Below are 27568 nucleotides of genomic sequence, written 5' to 3'. Positions count from 1 at the left end.
CTCCAGCACCTGTTGTTTCCTGACTTTTTAATGATTGCCATTCTAACTGGTGTGAGATGGTATCTAGCCATTTATTTCTTGAAATTTTTTTTTTTTCTGATCCCTCCTCTCTCTGCTCTTTCAGGGCTTCCAATTATGTGTACAATAAGCTATTTATCATTGTCTCATAGGTCACTGGGATTCTATTTTTTTCAAATTAGTTTGTCTATACTCTATTTACGTAGTTTTCATTGCTATTTCTTCTGGTTCACTGATCTATTTTTACCCCAATGTCTAATCTGGGTTTAATCCCATATAGTATATTTTTTATTCCAGATACATTTGCTCCTCTATTTGTAGTAGGGTTATGTCCCAATAAATCCATTCTAAGTTGAAAATAAGTTGAAAATGCATTTAATATACCTAGTCTACTGAATATCTTAGTTTAGCCTAGCCTACCTTAAACATGCTCAGAGCTCTTATATTTGCCTATAGTTGGGCAAAATCATCTAACGCAAAGCCTATTTTATAAGAAATAATTGATTATCCTATGTAATTTATTGAATACTACATTGAGAGTGAAAAACAGAACAATTGTATGGGTACTCAAAGTATGGTTTCTGCTGAATGCATATTGCCTTTGCACCATGGTATAGTTTAAAGAGTGTTAAGTTGAACCATCATAAGTTAGGGACCATCAGTATTTTATTTTTCAGATCTAGAAGTTACATTCAGGTTTGTTGGTGCAGACATACCCTTGTTGCTTAGATACTTGGATCACTTAATTAGTCCTATCCAGTATTAGGTAAGGCCAAGGAATTTCTTGGTAATAGCCCAGCAGAGAGTAGTGAATGTGAAATATATAGACATGGATCACCTAGCTTATTAGTTGTGTCACCTCAGAAAAGTCACTTAACTTCTCTGAGTTCAAGGATTCTCATCTATAAAATTGGAGTGAGTGATAATAATATTAACTGACTGTATACAAATTCCTTGGAGTAGCAAACAAGTGGAGTAGGTATTTGGGACCATGAGGCCCCTCCCTCAAGCTCTGCAACCTCACCACTTTGAAAGCTGGCTTTAGTTATGAGTCAGAGGGAGGATTAGCAGTTCCTTTACTCTAGGAAGGAGTGGCAATGGAATGTCTCTGAATGCTACCAATGCAGACCACATGTTGCAAGATACAGCAGCTATTCCTGAAGCAGTGCTGAGATGCTGCCCTAGCAGATATCATTCCTGTTCTTATGAGCCCACAGGCCTTGGGGTGCCACTGCACCAACACCACAAGGACCTGCCCCATGCTTTACCTCAGTCATGTGTCTATGCACTCCAAAGCACCTGAGAGCTCTGACCACAGGACAAAATCACACAGAAACCTGAGCACCTCAGCTGCATCAGGCTGGTTGTATGCTGAGGATGACAGGGGATTTCAGAGACTGGGTGGCTGCTACCACAAGAACCTAGCAAACAGGACAGGCAGAAAGAAGAATCCAAGGACTATATTAAAGCATGACTCAGAAAACCTAAAAGAGCCAGACACACTGAGAATGCTTGTCCTGGAACAGTTAAGGAGAAAGTATTCCTCCCACTCTAAACTTATCCCATAGCTTGTGAGGCAAGGAGACAGGGCTATAAAGGGCGACACAAGCTGAACCAGTGCTCATATACCTAACAAGGAGTGAAATGTGCCATGTATTCTTCAGGCTCTGTGAGCAGGGTTAGGCACGATGACTGCTACTCAAGTCACAGGGACAAAACTCCGGGAAGTGTCCATAGAGAGGGGATCTCAATGCACACATTGCAAGCTCTGTTTCAGTGTAGCTCAGGGTTTTTCAACCTTAGCACTAGTGACATTTTGGTTTGGACAGTTCTTTGTAGTGGAGAGTTGTTTTGTGCATTGTGGAATATTTAGCACATCACTGAGCTCTGTTCACTAGGGGCCAGGAACACCCCAGCCAACACATCTCTGAGTTGTGGCTATCAAAAATGTTTCCAGACACTGCCAAATCAAAATCACCTCTGATTGAGAATCAACTAATCTAGACTTCTGGTATTAAGCCTCAAAAGAAGTGAAAGCACTTGCAACAATACTTCCTGAGACTAGAACTTGGCGTGAAATACAGAGACCTCTGCTAAAAATCCAACACTTATGTTGATTTATTCATATCTGTGAAGCCAAAGCCATTATTTAGCTAAAAATTTTGCCCCAAGCACTTAACAGAAGTGTACAGTGTAGTGGTTAATTACACATACTCTGGTGCCAGAATCCCAGCTGCTTGGGACACAACTTTACTGCCTACTATCAGGCGACATCGGGCAAGGGAATACCACCTTTTTTCACCTTTTTATTTATCTGTAAAATGTAGACAATGCCAGTGACTACTTCTGGCATTCTTCTATTCTGCCTCACAGAATATATATCTGTGAGGATATATATTCTTCATTGCATGTAAGATGCTCGGTACGGCACTTGGGACATGGTGAGTCCTACAAATGGCCTGTTTCAGCACTTCTCAGCTGGGGGTTGTGACAGTGTTCCCAGGGTTCATGACATTAATGGCACTATGGCATCTTATTCAATTTTATTTTTTTATAAGTATCTTAAATACTAACCTAAATGTCTTGCCACTTAAAATAAAACTGCTGAGTGCCTCTGATTAAATATATTAGTCCACATGGCCCTTAGTGGGGTCAGATGGGCCAGCTCCTGACTCACGCTCTCAGATGATCACTCAGCTGCCACAGTGGTTTTGATTCTTGCAGAGCTTTCAATTATCTTTGTTCTTAGTCACCATATTGCCTAATTTGTGCCTATAACACATAAAGACAAGAACATACAAGAAACTTTGGTACTGAAACACAAGGGAAGAGGAACATACCAATATTATTAATTCTGCAAGTTCACCTCAAGGTGATTTTCATAACTCTATTAGTTTAATTTATCTGACCTAAATCCCATGTACACATCCAGATGTCTCCTAAAATATCTAAAATGAGAGTGCAAAAGATACTATCATAATTATAACAGATTTGGCTTTTCATTTATTAGGAAGGAAGAGATTGCTCACACTTATGTTATCTGTCTCAAAGCATTTACAAATGGTCTGATACCCACCCAAGTGGACATTGTGACTGCAGTGTCCTCAGTCTCCTCAATCCTCTGACTTTTGACAGTGACCTGAGTATTGTTTGGGTATTCCACCCCTCTCTGGCAGCCCAGCTTTCAGGGAACTGACCCCACCGGAGTCTGAGTGGATTCTATTTTTCAGTTGTGAGCACATGATTCAATTTTAGTTTATGAGATTGGAGAAGATGGCTGGGCTGGTTTCTGAGGGGACAAAAAATCGTCACACTCTCTTTCTGGAGGAAAAATTATGGAGCCCTGGAGTTGTTTGCAGTCATCTTTCAACAACCAGGCTTAGCCACTACTATGATGAGGGTTTAAGACAAGAGAAGGCAGTCTTTCTAACTGGTGTGAGATGGTGTCTCATTGTGGTTTTGATTTGCATTTCTCTGATGACCAGTGATGATGAGCATTTTTTCATGTGTCTGTTGGCTGCATAAATGTCTTCTTTTGACAAGTGTCTGTTCATATCCCTTGCCCACTTTTTGATGGGGTTGTTTGATTTTTTCTTGTAAATTTGTTTGAGTCCTTTGTAGATTCTGGATATTAGCCCTTTGCCAGATAGGTAGATTGCAAAAATTTTCTCCCATTCTGTAGGTTGCCTGTTCGTGCTGATGGTAGTTTCTTTTGCTGTGCAGATGCTCTTTAGTTTAATTAGATCCCATTTGTCTATTTTTGCTTTTGTTGCCATTGCTTTTGGCATTTTAGTCATGAAGCCCTTGCCCATGCCTATGTCCTGAATGGTAATGCCTAAGTTTTCTTCTAGGGTTTTTATGGTTTTAGGTCTAACATTTAAGTCTTTAATCCATCGTGAATTAATTTTTGTATAAGGTGTAAGGAAGGGATCCAGTTTCAGCTTTCTACATATGGCTAGCCAGTTTTCCCAGCACCATTTATTAAATAGGGAATCCTTTTCCCATTTCTTCTTTTTGTTAGGTTTGTCAAAGATCAGATGTTTGCAGATGTGTGGTGTTATTTCTGAGGACTCTGTTCTGTTCCATTGGTCTATATATCTGTTTTGGTACCAGTAACATGCTGTTTTGGTTACTGTAGCCTTGTAATATAGTTTGAAGTCAGGTAGCATGATGCCTCCAGCTTTGTTCTTTTTGCTTAAGATTGTCTTGGCTATAAGGACTCTTTTTTTTGGTTCCATATGAAATTTAAAGTAGTTTTTTCCAGTTCTGTGAAGAAAGTCATTGGTAGCTTGATGGGGATGGCATTGAATCTAAAAATTACCTTGGGCAGTATGGCCATTTCCACAATGCTGATTCTTTCTATCCATGAGCATGGAATGTTCTTCCATTTGTTTGTGTCCTCTTTGATTTCATTGAGCAGTGGTTTGTAGTTCTCCTTGAAGAGGTCCTTCACATCCCTTTTACATTGGATTCTTAGGTATTTTATTCTCTTTGTAGCAATTGTGAATGGGAGTTCACTCATGATTTGGCTCTCTGTTTGTCTGTTATTGGTGTATAAGAATGCTTGTGATTTTTGTTCATTGATTTCGTATCACACCAGTTAGAATGGCGATCATTAAAAAGTCAGGAAACAACAGGTGATGGAGAGGATGTGGAGAAATTGGAACACATTTACACTATTGGTGGGAGTGTAAACTAGTTCAACCATTGTGGAAGACAGTGTGGCGATTCCCCAAGTATCTAGAACTAGAAATGTCATTTGACCCAGCGATCCCATTACTGGGTATATACCCAAAGGAATATAAATCATGTGACTATAAAGACATATGCACATATATGTTTATTGCAGCACTATTCACCATAGCAAAGACTTGGAGCCAACCCAGATGTCCATCAGTGATAGACTGGATTAAGAAAATGTGGCACATATACACCATGGAATACTATGCAGCCATAAAAAAGGATGAGTTCTTGTCCTTTGCAGAGACATGGATGAAGCAGGAAACCATCATTCTGAGCAAACTATCACAAGGACAGAAAACCAAATACCGCATGTTCTCACTCATAGGTGGGAATTGAACAATGAGAACACTTGGACACAGGGCAGGGAACATCACACACCAAGGCCTGTTGTGGGGTAGGAGGATGGGAGAGGGATAGCATTAGGGGAAATACCTAATGTAAATGAAGAGTTAATGGGTGCAGTGAACCAACAAGGCACATGTATACATATGTAACAAGCCTGCACATTGTGCACATGTACCCTAGAACTTAAAGTATTAAAAAAAAAAAAAGACAAGAGAAGGCAGAGCAGAGAGATGAAAACAGAAAACATCTGAAGGTGTTCTTGAGCAGACAAATCACACTGACCCTACAGCCCTCCCCATCTCTAGTTACACAAGCTGAGCTAGCTTGCATTGGATTTTTGTTACTTGCATTCTAGCATAATCTTACTGATATACCATTAGCTTTTTTTCTTTTCTTTTCTTTTTCTTTTTCTATTTTTTTTTTTTTTTTTTTTTTTTTTGAGATGGCGTTTCGCTGGGATTACAGGCGCACACCACCAGGCCCGGCTAATTTTTTAAATGTTTTTTAGTAGAGATGGGGTTTTGCCATGTTGACCAGGCTGGTCTTGAACTTCTGACCTCAGGTGATCTGCCCACCTCGGCCTACCAAAGTGTTGGGATTACAGGCATGAGCCATGGCACCCAGCCTATCATTAGCTTTTCTAATTATTTAGAAATAAACAAAACTTTATACAAACTAAACTACTTGAAATAAGTAATCTGCAAGAATACTCACCATCCGCTCATGAAAGCAGTTTTTGTCTACTTTTACTTGTATAATACATAGATAAATGAAGTGGACTGAAATTTTATGGCCCCTACCTCATTGATATGTTGAAGTCCTAAACCTCAATGTGATGATATTTGGAGGGGGGACCTTCAAGAGGTGATTAGGTAATGAAAGGTAGTCCTCATGAATGAGATTAGTGTCTTTATAAAAGGGACCCCTGTAAGATTCCTCAGCCCTGCCACTGCATGAGGACACAAAGAGAAGACAGTTGTCTATGAACCAGATAGCAGGCCCTCCAGTGGACACCAAATCTGCTGGCAGCTTCATCTTGAACTTCCCAATATCCAGAACTGTACGAAATAAATTTCTGTTGTTTATAAGCCACCCTGTCTATGGTATGCTGTTATAGCAGTCCAAATTGACTAAGACACACATTTTCAATTTTCTAAGGCTTCTGCTTCCAGGCAAAATGGAGTAACAGGGACCAAACCAATTTCCCCTCCCATCTGAAACAACTAAAAAATAAAAAAATAAAAAACATTTGAAGCAACAGTTTTTAAGATACTGCACAGTAGGCAACAAAAGAGCATAATCCCTGGGAGATAGGAAGCAAATCATTTAAAGCCTACAGTTGCCCCACAGAATGCCTGGAGAGAGCTTTTAGGCAGTGGCACAGGGAGGGGTAACTAAGGAGGATTCCTCTGTTGGGAAGATAGAACTGAGGATCCAAGGAGACCAAGGAGTCTGAAAGCTGCACAGAGAGACAGCCTGGAAGAGTGGCAGGGCGTTACCCTCCGGTTCTTGAGCAGAGCACTGATCAATGCATGTGTTTTAAGGAAACTATGTCAGACTAGCGAAAAGAACAATCTAAAGGATTCAACTAGAAAGAATAGTACCCAGTGCCCACACAGAGCCAGTGATGATGCCGACTTTCACCAACCAGGCTGGAAAACCTCAGAATACCTGTGTATTCTGATTATGAATACATTGGGTGAGCTTTCAGAAAAGTCTTGCCTCAGTAGTGGAGAATAACTAGTCTTAGGCTCATCGCTGCTTTTGCCCTACCAAAAACAAAACGAAACAAAACAAAACAAAATCTTATTATTAAGACCTGAATGGATCAAACTGTTTCCAAATAACTTAACTGCATTTCAGAACAAAAGTAGAAAAGATTTAAAAATATTTTTAAAATCAGTAACTAATGAAGTAAAATGTACAAGGTCTTGCCTCTAATCAAATATTATTAGGTACTCAAAGAAGCAGAAAAATATGAATCATAATGATGAGAAGAATAATAATTGAAACTGACTCAGAACCGACACAGATATTAGAATTAGCAGCCAACAACATTAAAATGGTTACTGTAATTGTATTTCATATCTTTAAAAACCTAATTCAAGACAAAGAAATATGTAAAAGACACAAATCAGGGTTTTAGAGGTGGAAACCATAATTTCCAAGATTAAACAACACTAACTGGTATTAACAAAAGACTATGTGTTAAAAAAGAAAAGATTAGTGAATTTGAAGACACAGCAATAGCAACTATACAAAATGAAGCATAAATAATAATAATAATTTTAGAAAATAAAAAGAACATAAATTAGGAAACCCCATGTGGCTTAATATATATAATGAGAATCCCTTAAGAATGAGGAGGAGACAGAAAAGCCATTTGAAGAAATAATGGCGAAATATTCAACAAATCTCAGGGAAACTATGAAAGCACAGATCCAAGGAGCACAGGAAACATGAAAAAAAAAAAAAAAACAAAAACCTAAATCATGAAAGCAAGGCACATCATAATCAAATTACTCAAAACTATTGATAAAAACAACATCTTGAAAACAGCCAGAGGAAAAAAGAAATTATATACAATGGAACAAACATAAGGATGACAGTAATTGCTTATAGAAAAGAATATAAGCAAGACAACAGTGGAGCAACTCTAAAGTGCTGAAAGAAAAAAAAGTCAACCTAAAACTTTTAACCAGTAAACATATCTTTCAAAAAAAAAAAAGCAAGATAAAAACATTTTCAAACAAACAAAAGCTAAAAGAATTGTCAGCATACCTGCACCACAAGAATGTTAAAGGAAGTTTTTCTGGCAGAAGGAAAATGATACCAAATGCAATCTGGACCTGCACAAAGCACTACAGATCAATATCCGTCATCAACAAAGGTGCAAACATTCTAAACAAAATTCTCATAAATGAAATTGAAAAATTTATAAAAATGATAATACATCATGACCAAATGGTGTTTATACTAGATGTCCAAGGTTGATTTAACTTAAAAAAAATCAATTTGGTAATTTACCAAATCAACATAGTAAAAAAACAACAACATATGATCATCTCTATGGATGTAGAAAAAGGATTTGACAAAGTGCAATATCCATTCTTGAGAAAAACTCTCAACCAACTAGGAAAAGAAGTCAATTTCCTAACCCTAGCAAAGGGCATCTGTATAAAACAAACAAACAAAAACTGTAGCTACCACCCTGCCAGTAAGTGAACTGAACTCTTCTCCTAAGATCAGGGACAAGACAAGGATGTTTAAAGTTACCACGTCTGTTTAACATTGTACTAGAGGTTCTAGTTAGTGCAATAAAACAAGCCAAAGAAAAAAAAGGCATCCAAATTTCAACTGAAGAAATAAATAGGTCTTTGTCTGCAGATGAAATAACATCTATGAAGAAGATCCAATGGGATCTACAAAATACCTTCTAGAACTAATAAATTTAGCCAGTTTACAGGATATAACACCAACACACAAAAATCAATTATATTTATATTTGCTATCAACAAACAAATTGAAATAAAAAATTTAAAACTTTATCATTTTTTTAAAGCACCAAAATATGAAATACTTAAAGATTAAATCGATGAAAGATCTAGTACCTAAATAGGGAAAACTATAAGACATTGCTGAAAGAAATTAAAGACTTAAATTTATAGAGAGATATATCTTGTTCATGTTTCAGAAGACTCAATGTTGCAAAGATATGAATTCTCCCCACTAAAACTCCCAACAGATTTTTATTTTAGAACTTGTTGAACTGATTCTAAAGTTCATATGGAAATGTAGGGGACCTAGAATAGCCAAAATAACTTGAAAAAGAAGAAGAAAGTTGGACAGCTAACAGTACCTGATTTCAAGACTTTCAGAGCTACAGTAATAAAAACTAATACATAGCACTGACATTTTAAAAAGATAAATAAAAGGAACAAAACAGAGAGCCCAGAAATAGACCAACATATATATGGATGACCACTTTTTTTTTTTTTTTTTTTTTGAGACAGAATTTCGCTTTTGTCCCCTAGGCTAGAGTGTAGTGGGGCCATCTTGTCTCACTGCAACCTCCGCCTCCTGGGTTCAAGCGATTCTTCTGCCTCAGCCTCTGGAGTAGCTGAGATTACAGGCGTGCACCACCATACCCAGCTAATTTTTGTATTTTTAGTAGAGATGGGGTTTCACCATGTCGGCCAGGCTGGTCATGAACTTCTGACCTCGAGTGATCCGACTGCCTGAGCCTCCCAAAGTGCTAAGATTACAGGCATGAGCCACCACATCTGGCTGGGTGACCACTTTTTAACAAACATGTTAAAGCAATTCAGTAGAATTGGAGTCTTTTCAAGAAACAGTATAATATAGAACAATGGAATATGCCAAAACACCCCTACTTTGATTCATACTTATTCACATTATATTAACTAGATTGAATCACAGATTTTAATTTTAGCTTTATGTGTAAAAATGACACAAATTTCCATTAATGGGGAAAGAATAAACAAATTGTATATGTTGATACCATATAATTCTAGTTAGTGATAAAAATGAAAGACAATATAGGCAACATTACTGAATATCAAAATAGGTATGCTGAGTGAAAGAAGCCACATCAAAGAAAAAAAAAGAGAATAGGTAATGTATGATTCCATTTACATAAAACTATAGAAAATAAAAACTAATCTATAGTGACAAAAAAGATTGGAGGTTGCCTAAGGACTAGTGGGAGGAGGAGGGAAGGATGCATTATAAAAGGACTCAAGAAACTTGTAGGCAGTGGATATATTCAATATCTTGATTGTCGTGATAGTTTCATGCATGTATGCATATGCCCAAATGTATCAAATGTCACACTTTAAATATGTGCAATTCCCTGTATATCAATTATTTCTCAATTAAAAAAATTAAAAAAAGGAAAAACTTCAATCTTTATTTCTCATATATATTTGTTTCCTAAACCAATATGCCATTTAAACATTTGCTAACAAATCAACCTTTCTGTTGTCTATTTTAATTAAATTAAACAATGAATCATTTATAAACTGGCAAAGTATAATTTATCTTCATTCTGTATATAATGATTATTAAGAATGATATTAAAATGAATTTTATAAGAGTCTGTAATAATATGTCAACCTAGACATATTTGAAAATCATTTCTTTTTAAATATATTACACAAAAACGGCAACTTTAAAAAAACTCCTAAGGAGAGATATTGAGAGATGGTATATTAACATAAAAAAGAAAGGTCAAAAACGTAGGAGAATGTGGATCTAGATTATTTTAGAGGCCTTCAGAGGTGTTAGTGACCTGCCTCAAGAGACATATGTCCCAGCTCCCTCATGGAGTGAGGATCAAAGGAACCATAAATGTAAATGACCCTATCAACTGAACTGTGCCGAGCTGTTTTCTCATCTATTTGGTACAGGCAATGGGGCTAGGTGAAGGTACAGGTTACTTTGCAGATAAAACAGCTGAGGCTATAGGATAGGCAGCTTTTTGTCACTTTAGGAGTCGGTTTTCACTGTCACCCTCTATTAGTTCCCCATTGCTGCTGTAACAAATTATCACAGACTTAGCGGTTAAAACAACACAAATGTATTATCTTATAGTTATGGAGGTTAAAAGTCTAAAATGGGTTGTGGGGCTGCATTCCTCCTGGAGGCTTTCAGGGAAAATCCTCTCCTGGCCTTTTCTACCTCTTAGAGGCTGCCTACATGCTTTGGCTGCTGGCCTGTGTCATTCCAGCCTCTGCTTCCATCCTCCATCTCCTTCTCTCACTCTGACCCTCTTGCCTCTGTTTCACAAGCATCCACCAGGATAATCCAGGCTAATCTCTCCATCTCAAGATCCGTAATTTAATCACATCTGCAAAGACTCCTTGGTCATATTAGACAACACACACACACACACACACACACACACACACACACACACACACACACACACAGGTTCTGAGGATTATACTGGACATCCTGATGGGGGGTGGGGGAATGGGAAGGCACTATTCCGCCTACCATACCCTCCATTTGGACCCTTTGATATGACCTCCATATTAGGGTTTTTTTTTTCTGTTCTTTTACTGCTACCCCTGAGAACCCTGTATTTCCCCCCTAGTTCCAGGACAAAGTAGCCCTAAGCTTTCCATTTATCTGTTCTTGTCTACTGAATTAAATTTTTCCTTCCTTCTTTCCTTCCTTCCTTCCCCTGTCCTTCCTTCCTTCCTTCTCTCTCTCTGTCTCTCCTTCTCTTGTTGCTGCTGTTAAAATACCTGGCTTTTTTTTTTTTTTTTTGAGATGGAGTCTCACTCTCTTGCCCAGGCTGGAGTGCAGTGGTGCAATCTCGGCACACTGCAGTCTCAGCCTCCCAGGCTCAAGCGATTCTCCTGCCTTAGCCTCCGAGTAGCTGGGATTACAGGCAGGTGCTATTATGCCTGTCTTTTTGTATTTTAGTAGAGATTGGGTTTCGCTATGTTGGCTAGGCTGGTCTCAAACTCCTGACCTCAGGTGATCCTCCCGCCTCAACCTCTCAAAGTGCTGGGATTCCAGGCGTGAGCCACCGGGCCCGGACACAAAGTAATGCTACAGATTTATTTAATAAGCATTTAATGAGAACTACTACTTGCTATGAGGATGCTGTGAACAGATGCTGCCCCTGAAGCAATGAGGTTCAGCGGGGAGAGGGAGAAGGATCTCCCGTGAGAGGAGTGTTTCCAAGGAGAAGTATAGTGTGTAAGGGGAGTGAGTGTCCGCTCCTGGTCTACACTGAGGGCCTCCTTGAGTAGGTGACATTTGTCAAAACCTGGAATCATATCGGTGGAGCTTTGGGGCTCTTTTTCAGGATAGCATTGATCTCTTTCTGCTCGTTTCTGTTGAGGAGTTTCCTGGTGCAGAGGAGGCAGGAAGGCTCCAGGGACCACCTGTTAAAGTTGAGAGAAAAGGAGGGCCTTGGGGTTGCTAACAGGCTTGTTTAGATCTGGCCAGAGGATGCTGGAGGCTCATGGAGCACAGGGCTCTAGACCCGAGCATTTCTGCACTCTTTCTACCAGGCCAATAGGCTGTGCTTCCTTCCAGGAACGGGAGCAAAGAAATAGGCCATTTTCTGTTTTGTCCACTGGGTGGAGTATTTTAGCCAAAGAAGGGTCCTTTGGCAGCAGTGACATTGTAGGCGATCTTTGCCTTGGAGAAGAGGCAAGCTTGGACTCGTCCGGAGTCACGCCCATCAAAACCCTCCTCCGCAGCTAACACTCATCAGACTTCATCACACTGTGTGTTGGGCTGAGGCCTATCCTGGTAAAAGAAAATCTTATAACAGATTTTAACATCTTAGAGCCAGAAAGGGGGCCTTAGGAGCTTGGTGACTCTAACCCTCTTTCACAAATTGGAAGTGCTAGGGCCCGAGCCTCAGGGCTCCTGACCTAATCACACAGGCAGGCGGAACGCAGGTCTCCTGCCTTTCTGGGGGCGGTTCTTTCTCTGAGGCACCTCAGAGGCGCCCAAATGGAGACCTGCAGACCTTCGAAGGGAGGCGTGAGCACATACGTTTCTCTTTGTAGATAAAATGGTCTGAGAGAAAAATCATTCTGCCACCTGTCAAGAATAAACAAAGTAAATGAGCTAGGTTAGATTAAGGGACTGTAGTTGGCGGCCACTCACAGTGAAGGACTGGAAATGGTTAGCAAAACAAGGGGCCTACGGCATATATTGTGACAACAATAAACATTTATTTGTATTGATTTGTGTGTTTTGTTCTACCCCTTCTTGTTTAAAAACAAAACAAAAAGTACCTACTAATGGCACATAAAAATGCACACATTTCAGCACAACCACATAAACTAGAAGTACATGACACATTGGCTTGGGGCGCAGCTAAAGCTGGAACAAAACAGCTGATTTGCAGGATGTAAGGTTGACTCAGAAATGTGTGAAGCATTCTTTGTTTAAAAAATAAATGAATTGGCTGGACCTGGTGGCTCACACCTGTAATCCTAGCACTTTGGGAGGCTAAGGCAGGCGGATCACCCGAGATTGGGAGTTCAAGACCAGCCTGACCAACATGGAGAAACCTCGTATCTAATAAAAATACAAAATTAGCCAGGCGTGATGGCACGTGCCTGTAATCCCAGCTACTCGGGAGGCTGAGGCAGAAGAATGGCTTGAACCTGGGAGGCGGAGATTGTGGTGAGCCGAGATCGCGCCATTGCACTCCAGCCTGGGCGACAAGAGCGAAACTCCATCTCAAAAAAAAAAAAAAAAAAAAAAAATTAAAGTTGGTGAGCAATAAGACAGAGGAAAAACAAAAATAGGAAAATGAAAGGCAGACAGAAAATAAGCCTGGTACGTTAAATGTAAACTATGAAAACCTACCTTTTGCTGAGAGTGGGGCATGAATGTAGACCTCATATCTACCATGGATGCTTGGGGGAAACCTGATCACCACAGCATATGTCAGTGGCTGCATGTCCTCAGGGCTGGGCTGCCTGGCCCAAATCGAGTCCATGATCTAGGGGCAGGAACTTTCCACAGCTCGGGCTTTTTGTAGTAAACCAGAGTTGAAGGCTAAACTAAAGTTTAAAAAATTATTTCTTTTCCCTTATAGTTTTGTCAATTATAAGTCAGAAGGAAATTAAAAGACTCTGACTTTAAATAGCTTCCAATTTTTCAGTAACAGTTAAAAAAAACCTACTTACATATTAAGAAAAGTGGAGCAAATTCTAAATAAAGGTAACCCAGTGAGATCGAGACAACTGGGAACAGTCTGGGGAGGCTGACCTCAAAAAGACAAGACACACATTGTTTCACTCGGAAATCTTTTTCCCCTTAAATTTCCTAAAGAAAGCAGAGATCTTGCATGCTTGCCACTGACTTGGAAAGCTAAGTGCACCTTAGAATGGATATTCTTGGCTCCATCTTTTGAAAACTTAGAGACTACACCATTAGAAAGAACGGAATACCGTCAAGGGTTTTAGTGATGGGTTCTTCAAGGCCCCAACTTTCTGCACATGAGAGTGTAGCATCAAGACAACCCCTTATCAGCCTGACTCTCAGTGTAAGGCCGTCTGACTGCAGGGGAGCCTTGCTTTACTCAGAGAGGCCACGGATCTTCTCTTTGCCTTCTAGCCCCTGCAGAAGCTGTGCATGACAGAGTACTCTGTCTTTCCAAAGCTGATTTATAACTGAAGGAGAACAAAAACTTGGTCAGAATCATGAATGCCCTAGATGCCTTTGAAGAGTGGAGAGACATGACTGGACTAGGGTTGGACTGGAAGAGATGGTCAAGAAGGTACTTAAGAAAAGGGGTGTCTGCAAGGGAATCACCCAGAGTCAGAGGCAAAACAGCCAGGAGCAGCAGCTTTGAGGCAGGGTTGGATTCTTGCTCCGGCAGTTAGAAATGCTGCAAACTCAGACAAGTTGCTGTTAGCTCAGCGGTAGGATGAGCCCTGATCCCTTTTGCCCCAATTGCCTACTGGATTCAAGGAGAAAATGGACAAGAAAGGGTTCACAAACCATTCATATTAGAAACAGACAAATATCCATTATATAACCAATGTTCCACCAGCTCCAATGAGAAGTAAGTATAATAGCTACTATTTTTGAGCACCTATTTTGTGCCATGCTTTTTCATCTATGTGTTTGAAACTTTATGGTTATTATCAGCCCCACTTTACATAGAGGGGAACTGAGAATCAGAGAGGGCAAGTGACCCTCCAAAGTTCATTAGCTGTTAAAAGGCAGAGTAGGGATTTGAACTGTGAACCTTGTTTCATTTTAGTTTAATGAGGACAGGTTCTTCTGGTGTCAGCTGGGTTCAGCAGGGTGTCCCTGCACCCCTCGCCCAGTGGCTGGCAGAGGATTTTTAAGAAGAGAGGAGGGAAGGCAGAAAAAGACAGGAGTAGAACATGAAGAAGTCTACCTCGGGGCTCCATTTTGTTCCATGTTGCAGTGAGGAACAGAGGATGAACAACCACCGTGAGGGGACAGGCTGAGTTACCACCCTGGGGTGATTTAACAATTCAGTAATGTATGAGTGTCATTCCGTATGTTTGAACTCTCCATTTGCTTATTGGCACCATAGTCCCTTATCTCTCTCCCTCTCGAGTTTCTTTCTCTTCTTTGACCTTTCTAGCCTCCTTATTTCATGCGTGTACATTCTTGTCTTTTTCCTTCTGCCTCTTCCCTCTTCACCAGTCGGACAGACTGTATCAGCGAATCCCTCTACAGTGTCGTATCTAACTTTTTTATTCATTGCATGATTTATTTTTAGCCTGAAACAACTGCATCCTAAAAATGGAGTTCCTAATGAGACAGAGGCTGAGCAGAGCTATGTAAGGTATCTGGGGCTTGGCCTCCCAGCCTCCCTAGCTTGGCTGTTTTTCTACTCTCATGCGTGCGTGCGTGCGTGCGTGTGTGTGTGTGTGTGCCTCTGCTCTTTGTCCTGAGCCCACGATTCCAGAGCTGGCTGGACCCAAGGAGGTGAAGAGTCACTTTTCAGCCCCAGGAAGGGCAAAGAAGAGAGAAAATCAGCCTGTCTGCTCTCTCCTTGGCTCAACAAGGCCTCTAACAGTCTTCTGTCCTCTATTCTGCACACAGCATATTTGGGAACGAGAAACAAAAGTTTTCCCAAATGAAGAGAACTCACTTGTTTATTGTGGGGATTTATTTTCTGTCCTCTTGCAGGGCAGAAGAGGGGCTTAATTTCCCCACATATGATGGGAAGGACCGAGTGGTAAGTCTTTCCGAGAAGAACTTCAAGCAGGTTTTAAAGAAATATGACTTGCTTTGCCTCTACTACCATGAGCCGGTGTCTTCAGATAAGGTCACGCAAAAACAGTTCCAACTGAAAGAAATCGTGCTTGAGGTAAGTAACCAAAGGGCATGCTGTCTGCGCTGCCTCAGTGAGGTGCCGAGGGAATGCCTTTGGCCAGGGGTTGGGATATGGGAACGAGGATGCAGAGAATATATACTGAACTCTGCTTTATTTTGGCCTCACGTGAATCAGATGCCCTTGTCACACAGCTGGGATGTGTGAACAATGAGGGGTGGGTCCTAACTCTTCAAATGAAGAGGACCAAACGTGCTACACTACGATGGGTCTGATGTAAAGTCTTTATGGCCCCCTTGACTTTTCAAGGGCCCTTGTCCCAGCCATTGTTTCCCAGATAGAATGTAGAAACTATTGTTAAAACTGTTGGCTGAAATGAAATCCAGGGACTACTTGTGGATTTCATTCAGTGTGCCCACTTTGCTCCCTCAAATCTCCCCATGATCCTGGAGAGACCAGAGTTACTTGACCTTGCGTCTCTCTGGGGGTCAGACGGAGAATATCACTAAATGACTTTCCTCTCTCTTGTTTTGCGTCAGTCAGCATTACAGAATGTAGTTGTGTGCAGATCTTCTGAGCAGCATATTCATTTATGTGATTTTTTTTCTCAGAAAGTTCTTGGTGTGACTTTAGGGCAGAGCTGAAGTCAGTTCTTATTTTATCCGCATTACATGGCCTGCCTGTTTGTAACCTGGCACTGGGGCCCATTTTCTAATCCTTTGCGAGTGCCCCAGAAACTATTCCTGCAGCTCCTCCTGGACAGCTTAAGATGGCTTACACTTTAAGAGGGCCTGAGGGTGCCAAGAATGCTAGTGGGCACCAAGATGCCTCATCAGTCTCCACGCCTAGCCCAGGCGCAAACCTGTGAAAGGGATATTTGAGAATTACAGTTTATTAACCAGCACAATCAGAGAACTCAGGTTGATGAAATAGTTTAATAGGATTATCATATAAAACCCATGTGGATTTGAATTTTTTCAAATTGAAAAATTGACTGTAATAAAATCCAGCAAAACTATCCCAAATACATCAAAAGTATATCTCCAACCTTGGGTGCTGAATGTGGAATTTCAGTTCTCTCTGTGGGTTGCAAGAAAAGAGAAAGCAGGGATAGTTATTAAGACTTTATTTTATAGAAATGAGCAAATCACAGGCTGGAAAAGAACGAGACATAGAACTTAGCTGCTGCTTAGCACATGAAACCAACACTTACATTATATCTCCATCTCAAACTGCCATACTCAGTTATCAAGAGACATTGTTATGAAAACTTAATTGAAGGCATAAGGATTCTCCCCTATATGCTCATCGCTGTCCAGTTAGCCTAGAACTCCAAAAGAATGCCTTTGGGTGGCCAGTACAGGCAAGGACATTCATTTCTGATTCTAATTTTTTTTAAAAAAGAAATATCTTTCTATCATCCTTCTATCTATCTATCTATCTATCTATCTATCTATCTATCTATCTATCTATCTATCATCTCTAGCTCCCCCAAGTATATCTGTCCCCAAAGACTATGCAAAATCATGAACAGAAACTTCCCCTGGGCTTACCATCCCTCCAGACACCTTTGATCCAAGAGTGCCCTTTTCACAGTGGGTGCCGGCCCAGCAGAGACCGATAAGGAAAAGTTCACCACAGGAGTTAATTTGATGCCCCTCAGGCTGCTAAAGCTGGAGTGAGGCATCATTAGGAGAAAAAGAACACAGACCTTGAAGTCAGGATATCTGGATTTAAGTTCTGGCTTTGTCTCTACTAGGCACAGGACACAGGGCAAATTACGTAATTTCTCAGAGCTTCATTTTCTTATCTATAAATATGGAAAAATAGTAACTATCATGCAGCTTAAGAAATGATTAAATAATAATAATGTTGATTAAATGCTTACTAAGTGCAGGGACTGTTCTAAGCACTTGGTATGTGTTAGCTTGTTTAATCCTTACAATAATTCTATTAAGTAGGTACAGTTACCAATTCCATTTTATAGATGTGGAAACTGAAGCAGAGAGGCTAAGTTGTCCAAGGTCACACAGCTACTACAGATGAAGGCAGTTGTACGTAACACCTACACGGTACTACTCCTGAAATCAGTGCGAAAACGCCCAAGGGGCTTCTGGGTAGCCTGTTTAAGATGGTTTCAAGAGTCTTCCTTAAACAGAGTTGCTCAGCCTCTGGACCCGGGTCTGATGATGCCAGCTGTACACCAGCATGGCCGAGAAGTACATGGCCTGGAGGCGCTGCTCATGCAAAAGTGCAAACTGAGGAGGAGGCCTGGGCTCCATTAGTGAAGGTTGAGGAAGGGGCGGGCCTTTGTTGAGATACTTGTCAGGCGCAGCATCAAGGGAAAAAATGGCTCCGGGAAGTCCATGAGTGGAAAGAGCGAACATGCCTTTAAACTTTCTTCATGGTCAAAACATCTATTTTGTCCTCTTAATCCTCTAGACCCCACACTTGCACTAAGAAAAATAGTCTGTCAGCTTCCAGGGCTGTGGCTGTTAGGGGGTAGGGGGAAAAGAGGAGGCAGTTCCCAGTGTCCATCCAACAGGCAGTGTGGTCTCAGCCACGGACAAATAGCTGGAGGGGAGGCAGCTCCCTTCCCCCTCGCAGCTTAAGGCGGCTTCTGACACTTTTTATCATAACCGACTATGACCCAGTATATACAGACACACACAGACACACACACACACCAGAAACAAAAATTTCATATGAACTATACTTATTATTATTACTTGGGGAATTAAATTTTTTTTTCTATTTTTATCCTGTTCTCTTCTATTTCATTTTAAAAATTGATCTCAACCTATTAAGTTGATTTCCCTCTCCAGTGAGGAGTTGCCATCCCCAGGCTGAAACACCTGAGGAATTTCTAGGAATTAGAAACTCATAGCTCCTCACACTAGGGCCACCCCATTCATTCTAAGAAACTCCAAGGGCACTGTGGCCAGTCATGTATATTTTGTCTGCATCTCTAAGGGATGTCAATGAAAAAAGCCAGAAACAGCTCCATCCACAGAGTGAGGAGGTCACTGCCTGATGAGGGGCACTTGAAATACCATTCAATTAGTCATGCATCTGCCACCTAATTTTTGTTGGGGCCCTGGGATAGATGCTGTGGATACGGGGAAAATGAGACCCTCAAGTGGCTCACAGCTGAACATGGAAGAAAACATGCAAACTAAGAGCTACAGTGCAGGGAGGTTGCTGTAACAACACAGCAACTTAGAAGTTTATCAGGGAGAGTAGAGGAAAGAGGAAGGGCCAGAGTTGGTTTGTGAAATGAGTAGGAATTTACTGGCAAAACAGCAAATATTCTGATGGCTCTCAAGTATTTTTCCACCTGCTAGCTTTTTCCTAAAATTTGGCCAAGAGGGCCTCATTTCTTTAGGGTAAGATTTTTGTCCCTACTTAGTCAAGGTCCTCTGGGAGAGGTAGATCTTTGAGATGTTGCCAATTACTTACATCCCCTGAGTCTGAATTCTGTCGTGAGAACAGGGCTTGACAAGGGGAAGAGGAGAAGGTGGAGAAGATAAGGTCTATACAGCTTAGCAAGAAAAAGGCAAGTAATATGACACCAGGAGGCAGCAAACTCAAACTTTGCTTTCCAATCTGGCCAGAGTCCAGCTCTGGAGGGCCCAAGGGTCATTGTATAATCCATAGTTCTATGCAGATGTTCTACACATGATTGTTGAATGAATGAATGAAATGTTAGAGCTCAAAAGAACTGTGGGAGTCATCTAGGTTGCTCTGAACCCCTCATTTCATAGCTGTAACCCTGACTTAAACAGCTGGCAGTTCTGATTCCTTGGGTATTCTTCATCAACAAAGCAGCATATATGATTTAGAAATTTCAGAGTATGTGGAAAAGAACTAAAAGGCAATAAAAGTAATCACACCAAAATAAACATGGATAATGTTCTGGTAGATTTCTTTCCAGTATTTTTTTCTATACATAAATATACATTTTTCAATTGGGAATTATACCATTTATACAGTTTTGTTTCCAGCTTTTTTTCACATCCATATATTGTATTTCTATATTATTAAACAGTAATGTTAATACCAGCATAGTATTCCACTGTATCATCATACATATTTTTAAAATAATTACCCTATATTTGGATCTTGACACAATTTTTAGAGTTTTAAAAATCTTCGCTTTTCATTGTTGTTTTAATGAACATTTCTTTGATTTCTGGCTAAAGTTTTCTATAAAATTCTTTTGCCATTTATGTATTTTTTCTTTCATAAATTATTTTTCTATGCCTTTTCTCATTTTTCTATTGGGGTGTCAACACAAATTATAAAGGGAGTTGCAATTTTGCATGCTGTCTCTTACAGCTTCCACCAAGATAGTAAATTTAGTCACACCACAGTGGCCAACTTCCATTAGCATTACAGGACTCAGAGACAGAGGACATGGGCAGGTAATTCAGTTTCTCCTTGCTGCTTTGTTTCCTGCTTCCTCTTTTTCCTTGAAACTGCTGTGCAAGCCACTGCTCCTATCATGTCCTATAAATATTGCCAGAGAAAGTCCTTCATTTCTCAACCTGAGTTGAGAAATGTCACCATTTCCCTCAGGTTGAAGTGCTTGAGAGATGGCATGCTCTAACACGGGCTTCCAGATCAGATAGACCTGGTTTCCTTGTTTGCAAGATGGAGATGACAGTGCTGTTGTGAGGATTGAATGAGGCTGCCCAGCAAGAGCATAGCTCTGGCACACAGAAGATACTTAACAAATGCTAGCTTCTTTTAGCCCACACTCACTATTTCATCAGGATTCTAAACACAATACAGCTAACCCCATCAGTTGATAAACTGAGGAAATCAGGCCTTGGGAGCTGGGTACTGGAAATGCAGCCATCTTGCTTATTCACAGCCAGTTTGATTTGCTCCTCCTCTTATTGCTTATTCACTCCTCCTCTCTGGGGCTAGAGAGGAGGAGTGAGTTGCCAGCGGTCACAGGTCGCTCTCGATGTACTCCTGTTTGGCATTCCCTCTGCTCTCAAGGCTTTGCTGAGCCTGTGTCGGCTATGTCCAATCACCTCATCCATGCCATTTATTAAATTAGGCCTTGCCCCATTTTCAGTCATGGTTCAGTCTCACCTACTTTGAGAGGTGCTTCCAGTTTCCTTCTAATCCTTTCTACCTTACTCTTTCCCCCCATGGAGACATGGGTTGGATTTTTCCCTCTAGATTAGAAGCCTCATGAAAACAACCTGAATTAAAATCAAACTTCGTAATAGGGGAAGCAAAAAGCAAAGCAAAACAAAACAAAAGCAAACTGAGCCAAGTTCACATTGGGCAAGGATCAAGAAACTGCTTGCGACTCAAAAACACAACTAAATAAATGCACTGGTCACATGACAACATGACAGGTGGAGCCCCAGCTGGCCAGGCATGAGCAACATGGCCTCCACATTGTGAGTTCCTGAGCCCTCTATACATGGCATTACCTTTCTGCCTAGCACCCAGCCTGGGATGAGGAATCATCGACTCCTTCCTCTTCCCCTTCTACCTTGACACAGATCCTGTCCCTAACTCCAAGACCTTTATCTTTTCCTCTACACCACTTCACTGCTAGGAGTCCAGCATTCCAGCCTGAAAAAGAAGGCAAGAAAAGGACAAAAGCTTTTTCCGGGTGAGCTTCACACTTACATAGAAACAATTTTATGGCCACTTAAATCGTCTATAGAAGGAAAAGAGGAAGGAGACATGCAAGGACCTCAGAGCTCAGTTTTAGGACCTCTGGGCACTTTTCATTTTATATTCACATGTTTTGTAGTTAAAATTGATGCTGTTAGCCATGTATATGTGTTTTGGGTGGCAGGGTGGAGAGTGGGGAATAGCAACTAAATAGACTAACCTGTAACCAACATGCATTTATTGGATTAAGGAAAGCTATGGGGGATTTTTTCAGGCAGCTAGAGAGTGTTTCAGAACATGAAAACAAGTATTGTAAATCCCTGAATAGAAATATTCATTCATTTATTAAATTTTCATTGCTATTAACAGACACTCAATAATCTTTGCATGAGTAAATGAATGTATCATTGAATGTATGGATAAGGAACAAGCAATACTTTCCAGATTCTGAACAGTAAAGCTTGGTTCATTCATTTAGGGTGAAATAGGTCCCTTGCTCAGTCAGGGTATCTGGAGTCTTGGCACAAAAATGGCCATATCTTCTTGGAAGTTGAACCAGGTCTACCTGCCAGTCCTGTAGTTTTTCAACAGGCTGCAACTAGAGTTCAAAGTCTAAGGCTGCTGCCCGGTGTACACTTGGTGTAGTTCTTCTGCTTTTCCTGCTTAAGAAGGTCTCATTTTAGCTCACCAATAGAGGCTGTTGGGATGCTCTGCTACCATCCACACAGTGCCTGTCCAGGGGATCTCTCGTAAGCTTTCTTCGGTATTAAATGGCAGGACCACTACCTAAAAATGCAAACCAATTTTCCTGTGCTGAAACATAGGTTACTTTCCAATAATATTTAGAGGATGACTCATGCAGATTATCTATTAAGCCCTGTAGCGGAGAGGGATGCTGGTTTCATCATCTATGACAGGATCAAGAATCATAATCCTGGGTAATGTAGGCCTCTGAGTTTTGCAGCTGTTTAGTGGATCTCTTGATGCTTCTGCTTTCAGTCTGCCAGAGCCCCTAACAGACTGAGCTTCCTTCTTCCTTCGGGCCTCGGTCTCCTAAACTATCTGTATATCAATAAAAAGTAAACTTTAGCGGAGAGTGACTGTAGCCTCTTCAGGCTTTGCAATGTGCCCAGCATCATCATTGACAAGACTCATGTGCACTTTATGAACTCTTCTTCTTCTTCTTCTTCTTCTTCTTCTTCTCCTTCTTCTCCTTCTTCTTCTTCTTCTTCTTCTCCTTCTTCTTCTTCTTCTTCTTCTTTCTTCTTCTTCTTCTTCTTCTTCTTCTTCTTCTTCTTTTTTTTTTGACTGAGTCTTATTCTGTTGCCCAGGCTGGAGTGCAGTGGGGCAATCTCAGCTCACTGCAACCTCCTCCTTCCGGGTTCAAGCAATTCTTCTGCCTCAGCCTCCTGAGTTGTTGGGATTACAGGTGCCCACCATCATGCCTGGCTAATTTTTGTATTTTTAGTAGAGACAGGGTTTCACCATGTTGGCCAGGCTGGTATACCACCATTTTTCTATGTCCAACCTCAGATGAGGTAGCAGTGCTTGGGAAAACTGAGAGCCGAGCACCTGAACTTCTCTTCTATTTACCCACTATCCTGAGTAAGTCACACAGATTCACCTCTTTACACTGACCTACAAAATCTATGTGTAAAATCATCTATAAAATCAACCATTAGCTCCTACCTCCATGAATTAGGAGAATTAAATGAAAACAGGTGAATAAGAATTTCTTATAAAATTATAAGAAGGTATAAAAGAGTCAGGTTTTATTATTTTTGTTACATCAGTTACTACTGAAGAAATTCATCTATGTATTAATAGAATGACTAATTGAGTGCTTGAAGTATAGTGGGTGCTTATCAATGTGAATTTTCTTCACTAGTCACTTGAACTTTTACACGTGTTCTTAGTCGATTGTAGTAGTTCTCAACTTTGGCCACATATTAGAACCACATAAGGAGTTTTAAAAAATACCGATTCCTGGGTCTTATCCCCACAGGTGCTGGTTTAATTGGTCACTGGGTAAAGGCTGATGTCCAGATGCTACAGTTTTTAAAAGCTTTCTGAGTGCTGTTAAGATGCAGCCAAGTTTGAAGGCCACTTGAAACCTGACGCTTAAAATGTGGACCCCAAGGCTGAGAGCAGCTCAGCTACTTGGGAGGCTGAGACTAGAGGATTGCTTTAGGCCAGGAGTTTGAGGCTGCAGTGTGTTATGATTGCACCTGTGAGTAGATACTGCACTCCAGCTTGAGCAACATAGTGAGACCTCATCTGAATAAAAAGGCGGACCCCAGACCAGTAGCAAATGGCATCACTTGGACCCTGTTAAAAACAAAGAATCTCAGGCCATATCTCAGAATCAAACTTAGCATTTAAATGAGATCCCTGTGTCGTTTGTAGGCACATTAAAGTTTGCAAAGCACTGTGACAGTCTATTGGGTTGGGAAAGTTTTCCAGATGACCAGAATCATGTTGTTACCTGTTTGACCTTTGGATCATTCATTCTTCAGAATGGTGTTGGAACTGTCAGTATAGCTCTAATTTGGAGAGTCGCTGGGATGTTAAGTTTGTTCTAGGGGTGCAGGGATTCATATCTGATTTGGGACTCAGCCAGGCCTCCCGGGGTTCTCCCACTGACCCATCACTCACACAATCAGTGACTAATCCTTTGGACCTCCTTAGAAGGAAATGATCTGGGACTTGAGAAGTATTACCCTATTTGAGATCTTTCTAGTTGAATTGCCTGGCTTTTAAAGACCAACTCAGAAGGTGGCCTTCTAACTATCCTCAGGTCAGGGTTCAGAGTTGACCTTCAGAAAGAGAAGACATGCGTCTATTTGGTTGCTGTGGCACATTAGCCCTTTCCCCAAAAGAGATGGCAAATCTAAGAACCCTGAAGGTAGATGGAAGTGGGATATTAAGATGTTATGATGTTTAATGGAAACCATGGGAAAGCTTCTCAGAGAAAACTGGTGAGTATTTTGTAATATAAAACTAAGTCTAGTGAACACCTGAATAGAAATATTAATTCTTTCATTTATTCATGAAATATTCATCTTACTTACTTACTGTCTAAGTCTGCTTAGTGTTGCTATAACAGAATACCTGAGGCTGGGTCATCTATAAAAAGAGGTTTACTTGGCTCATGATTCTAGTGGCTGGAAAGTTCAAAATTGGCAGCTGCATCTGGTGAAGGCCTCGTGCTGCTTCAACTCATGGCAGAAAGCAGAAAGCAATAGAGGAGTGGGCAAGGAAATCATGTGATGAGAGAGAAAGAAAGACAGAGAAGCCAAGGAAGTCAGACCCTTTTAAACAACCTGTTCCCTCAGAAACTAATTTGTTCTCATTAAAACTCACTTACCCTTGAATGAGGGCATTCATCTATTCATCTGTTTATAAGGGGCCCACCCACATAACCCAAACACCTCTGACTAGACCCTACTGCTGAACACTACCATATTGGGAATAAAATTTCAACATGAGTTTTGATGGGGACAAACCACACCCAAATCATAGCACTTACAAAGATGCAGATGGAATGGCCCCAGTGTCTAGGGAAATGTCCCTCTTTTATTGATGATAAGAACTCACTTCCTTTAGGTCTATGCTTAAATGTCACTTTATCAAAGAAGTTATCTCCCTGACAACCTATGTAAATCACACTTTCCATGCACTCATTTTACCTTCTCTACCCTCCTCTATGCTTTTTCTACATAGTACTTGGCTGACATATTGCATATTGTCTGACACCCCTTCTTGCAGTACATTTGTGTTGCTATAAAAGAATACCTAAGACTAGGTAATTTATAAAGAATAAAAGGTTTATTTGGCTCACAATTCTGATGTCTGAAAAAGTTGAAGATTGGGTATCTGTATCTGGCTAGGGCCACAGGCTGCTTCCACTCATGGCAGAAGGTGAAAAGGAGCTGATGTGTGCAGAGATCACACAGCACCAGAGGAAGCGAGAGAGAGAGAAAAGGTGCAAGGCTCTTTTTAACAACCAACTCTCAGAGGAACTCTAGCAGGAACTAATAGAGTGAGAACTCACTCAGTCACTGCCCCACCCACGGAGGACATTAATCTATTCATAAGGGATTCACCTCCATGACCCCAAGACCTCCCATTAGGCCCCACCTCCAACATTGGGGATCAAATTTTAATGTAAGATTTGGAGGGAAAAACGTCCAAACTACAGCACCTGCTATAGAATGTGACATTCACAAAGGCAGGGACTTTGTTCTACTCATTGCTATACCCCAGCACCTAAACCAGTGCCTGACTCAGTAGGTATTCAACAGCATTTGTCAAATGAATGTTGAATGAAGAGAAGAGGAAGGAGGAGAAGGGAGAAGCACATATTATGAACTTACCATAAACCATGCCAATATGGGGCTTTACATATGTTATTTTATTTAATTCTTACAATATTACAGACAGAGAAATTAGCCAGAGAGTTAAGTAAAAATTGCCTAAACTCACAAAGCTATAAAACATTAGATTGTGAAGCAGAGTTTGAACCCAAACCTATTTGTTTCAAATGACATGTCCCTTCCAGTATGCCAAGGAGCAGCTGAAAGGGATTGCTTCATGTTTGTAAGCAGTGCCAACTTATGAAGGGACAGATGTCTTTAGTTTGTACTCTGGATTTTCACTCACACTTGAGCTGCATTAAATTGTGCAACTAGACTATGTGTTGAACCTAAATGACTAATGCGAGCCAATGGGCTGTTGCTTGGCACTTGGAATTTAATAAATGTTTGCTGGATGGTTGGATGGAGAGGGGAAGAAGGGAAAGGTCAAGAATTAGAAATAAATTGCTTATACTGAAAATATACTTCTCCTTGATCTCTTTTTAAAATTGAGTTAAATTTTTTAAAGTATTGAGTACAATTGTAAAGAGGTTGAATCTGCCAGATTCAGGAACCTGTTCGTTACCCTTGCTTAATCCCACCAAAATATGGGTAAAATTGATTTTTTTTAAGCCATGGGATTCTTAGCCCAAAATATATATGCACGTGGGCAGAAGCCTCCAAGCTTTATAAGGCTGACCCTTGTTCTAAACCTATTTAGCACTGGCAAATATCCCAGTGGTGGTTGCATTTCCAAACCCCAAGAGAGGAAGGCAAAATGAAGTTGCTGGAGTTGAGTGAATCTGCAGATGGAGCTGCGTGGAAACGCTGGGGAGGGAATAGCAACACACACAGGATTCAGGTATTTTTTTTCCAACTGTTCACTGACCAAAAATGGCAATCTCCAAATTCACACCTGCTCCACTCTGAAAAATTAGATGAGGTCAGACTTATTTTGGTTTGGCTTGGAGAACAAAGCCTCTCATAGAGCCCATACTTTCTCAGGAGGTGCTCACTTTTAAATCGCAGTTCTCTGTGAATCCCAAGTGCTGTTGAATTCTGTGTGGAGGGTTGCTGGGCACATATCGGTAATACAGGGGATCCTTGGAGTGAGACGGTAAAAGAACAGAAATGCTAGTTGTAAAAGCATGGATTGAGTTGATTACAGTTAAATTTTTCCTTTCACCTATGGAATTATAAGGAAATAAAGGTTTCACGAACTGGAAAATACATGGTTGATTCAGAAGTTTTTAGACCATTGGAACCTTTTCTCACTACTCCTATCTCCAAAGCCCCCGGTATTGCGCAAGCCCAAATAGGACACCTATTCATAACATTCCTGAGGTAGACCTCCTCCCAAAGGTATAAGTTTTTTTTTATTTATTTATTTAGAGACAGAGTCTCGCTCTGTCACCCAGGCTCCCCGGCTGGAGTGCGGTGGCACAATCTTGGCTCACTGCAACCTCTGCCTCCCGGGTTCAAGCGATTCTTCTGCCTCAGCCTCCTGAGTAGCTGAGACTACAGGCGTGTGCCACCCTGCCCAGCTAATTTTTGTATTTTTAGTAGATACGGGGTTTCGTCATGTTGGCTGGGCTGGTCTTGAACTCCTGACCTCAGGTGATCCGCCTGCCTCAGCCTCCCA

The 27568-nt window shown here is 40.8% G+C and overlaps 1 protein-coding gene across 1 annotated transcript in view, besides 1 other annotated feature; it reads left to right on the top strand.

Annotated features, from left to right (window-relative positions):
• Positions 12246–12505: an enhancer, noted in NCBI's record as "active region_1555". NCBI's record gives its function as "activates an Ori minimal core promoter by ATAC-STARR-seq in GM12878 lymphoblastoid cells {active_cell/tissue: GM12878}" and the evidence as "EXISTENCE:reporter gene assay evidence [ECO:0000049][PMID:35858748]".
• Positions 15558–27568, top strand: part of CASQ2 (calsequestrin 2) — a 68694-nt gene continuing 56683 nt past the window's right edge. Inside the window, exon 1 of the mRNA NM_001232.4 lies at positions 15558–15964. Coding sequence (NP_001223.2) covers positions 15731–15964 — 234 coding nt within the window. The 5' untranslated portion in view covers positions 15558–15730. The remainder of the gene's footprint in view (positions 15965–27568) is intronic.

This window comes from Homo sapiens, chromosome 1 (assembly GCF_000001405.40).
Source record: "Homo sapiens chromosome 1, GRCh38.p14 Primary Assembly".
NCBI classification, from domain to species: Eukaryota; Metazoa; Chordata; class Mammalia; order Primates; family Hominidae; genus Homo; species Homo sapiens.
Note: the sequence above shows the minus strand (reverse complement) of the source record. Positions and strands in the feature narration are given on the sequence as shown.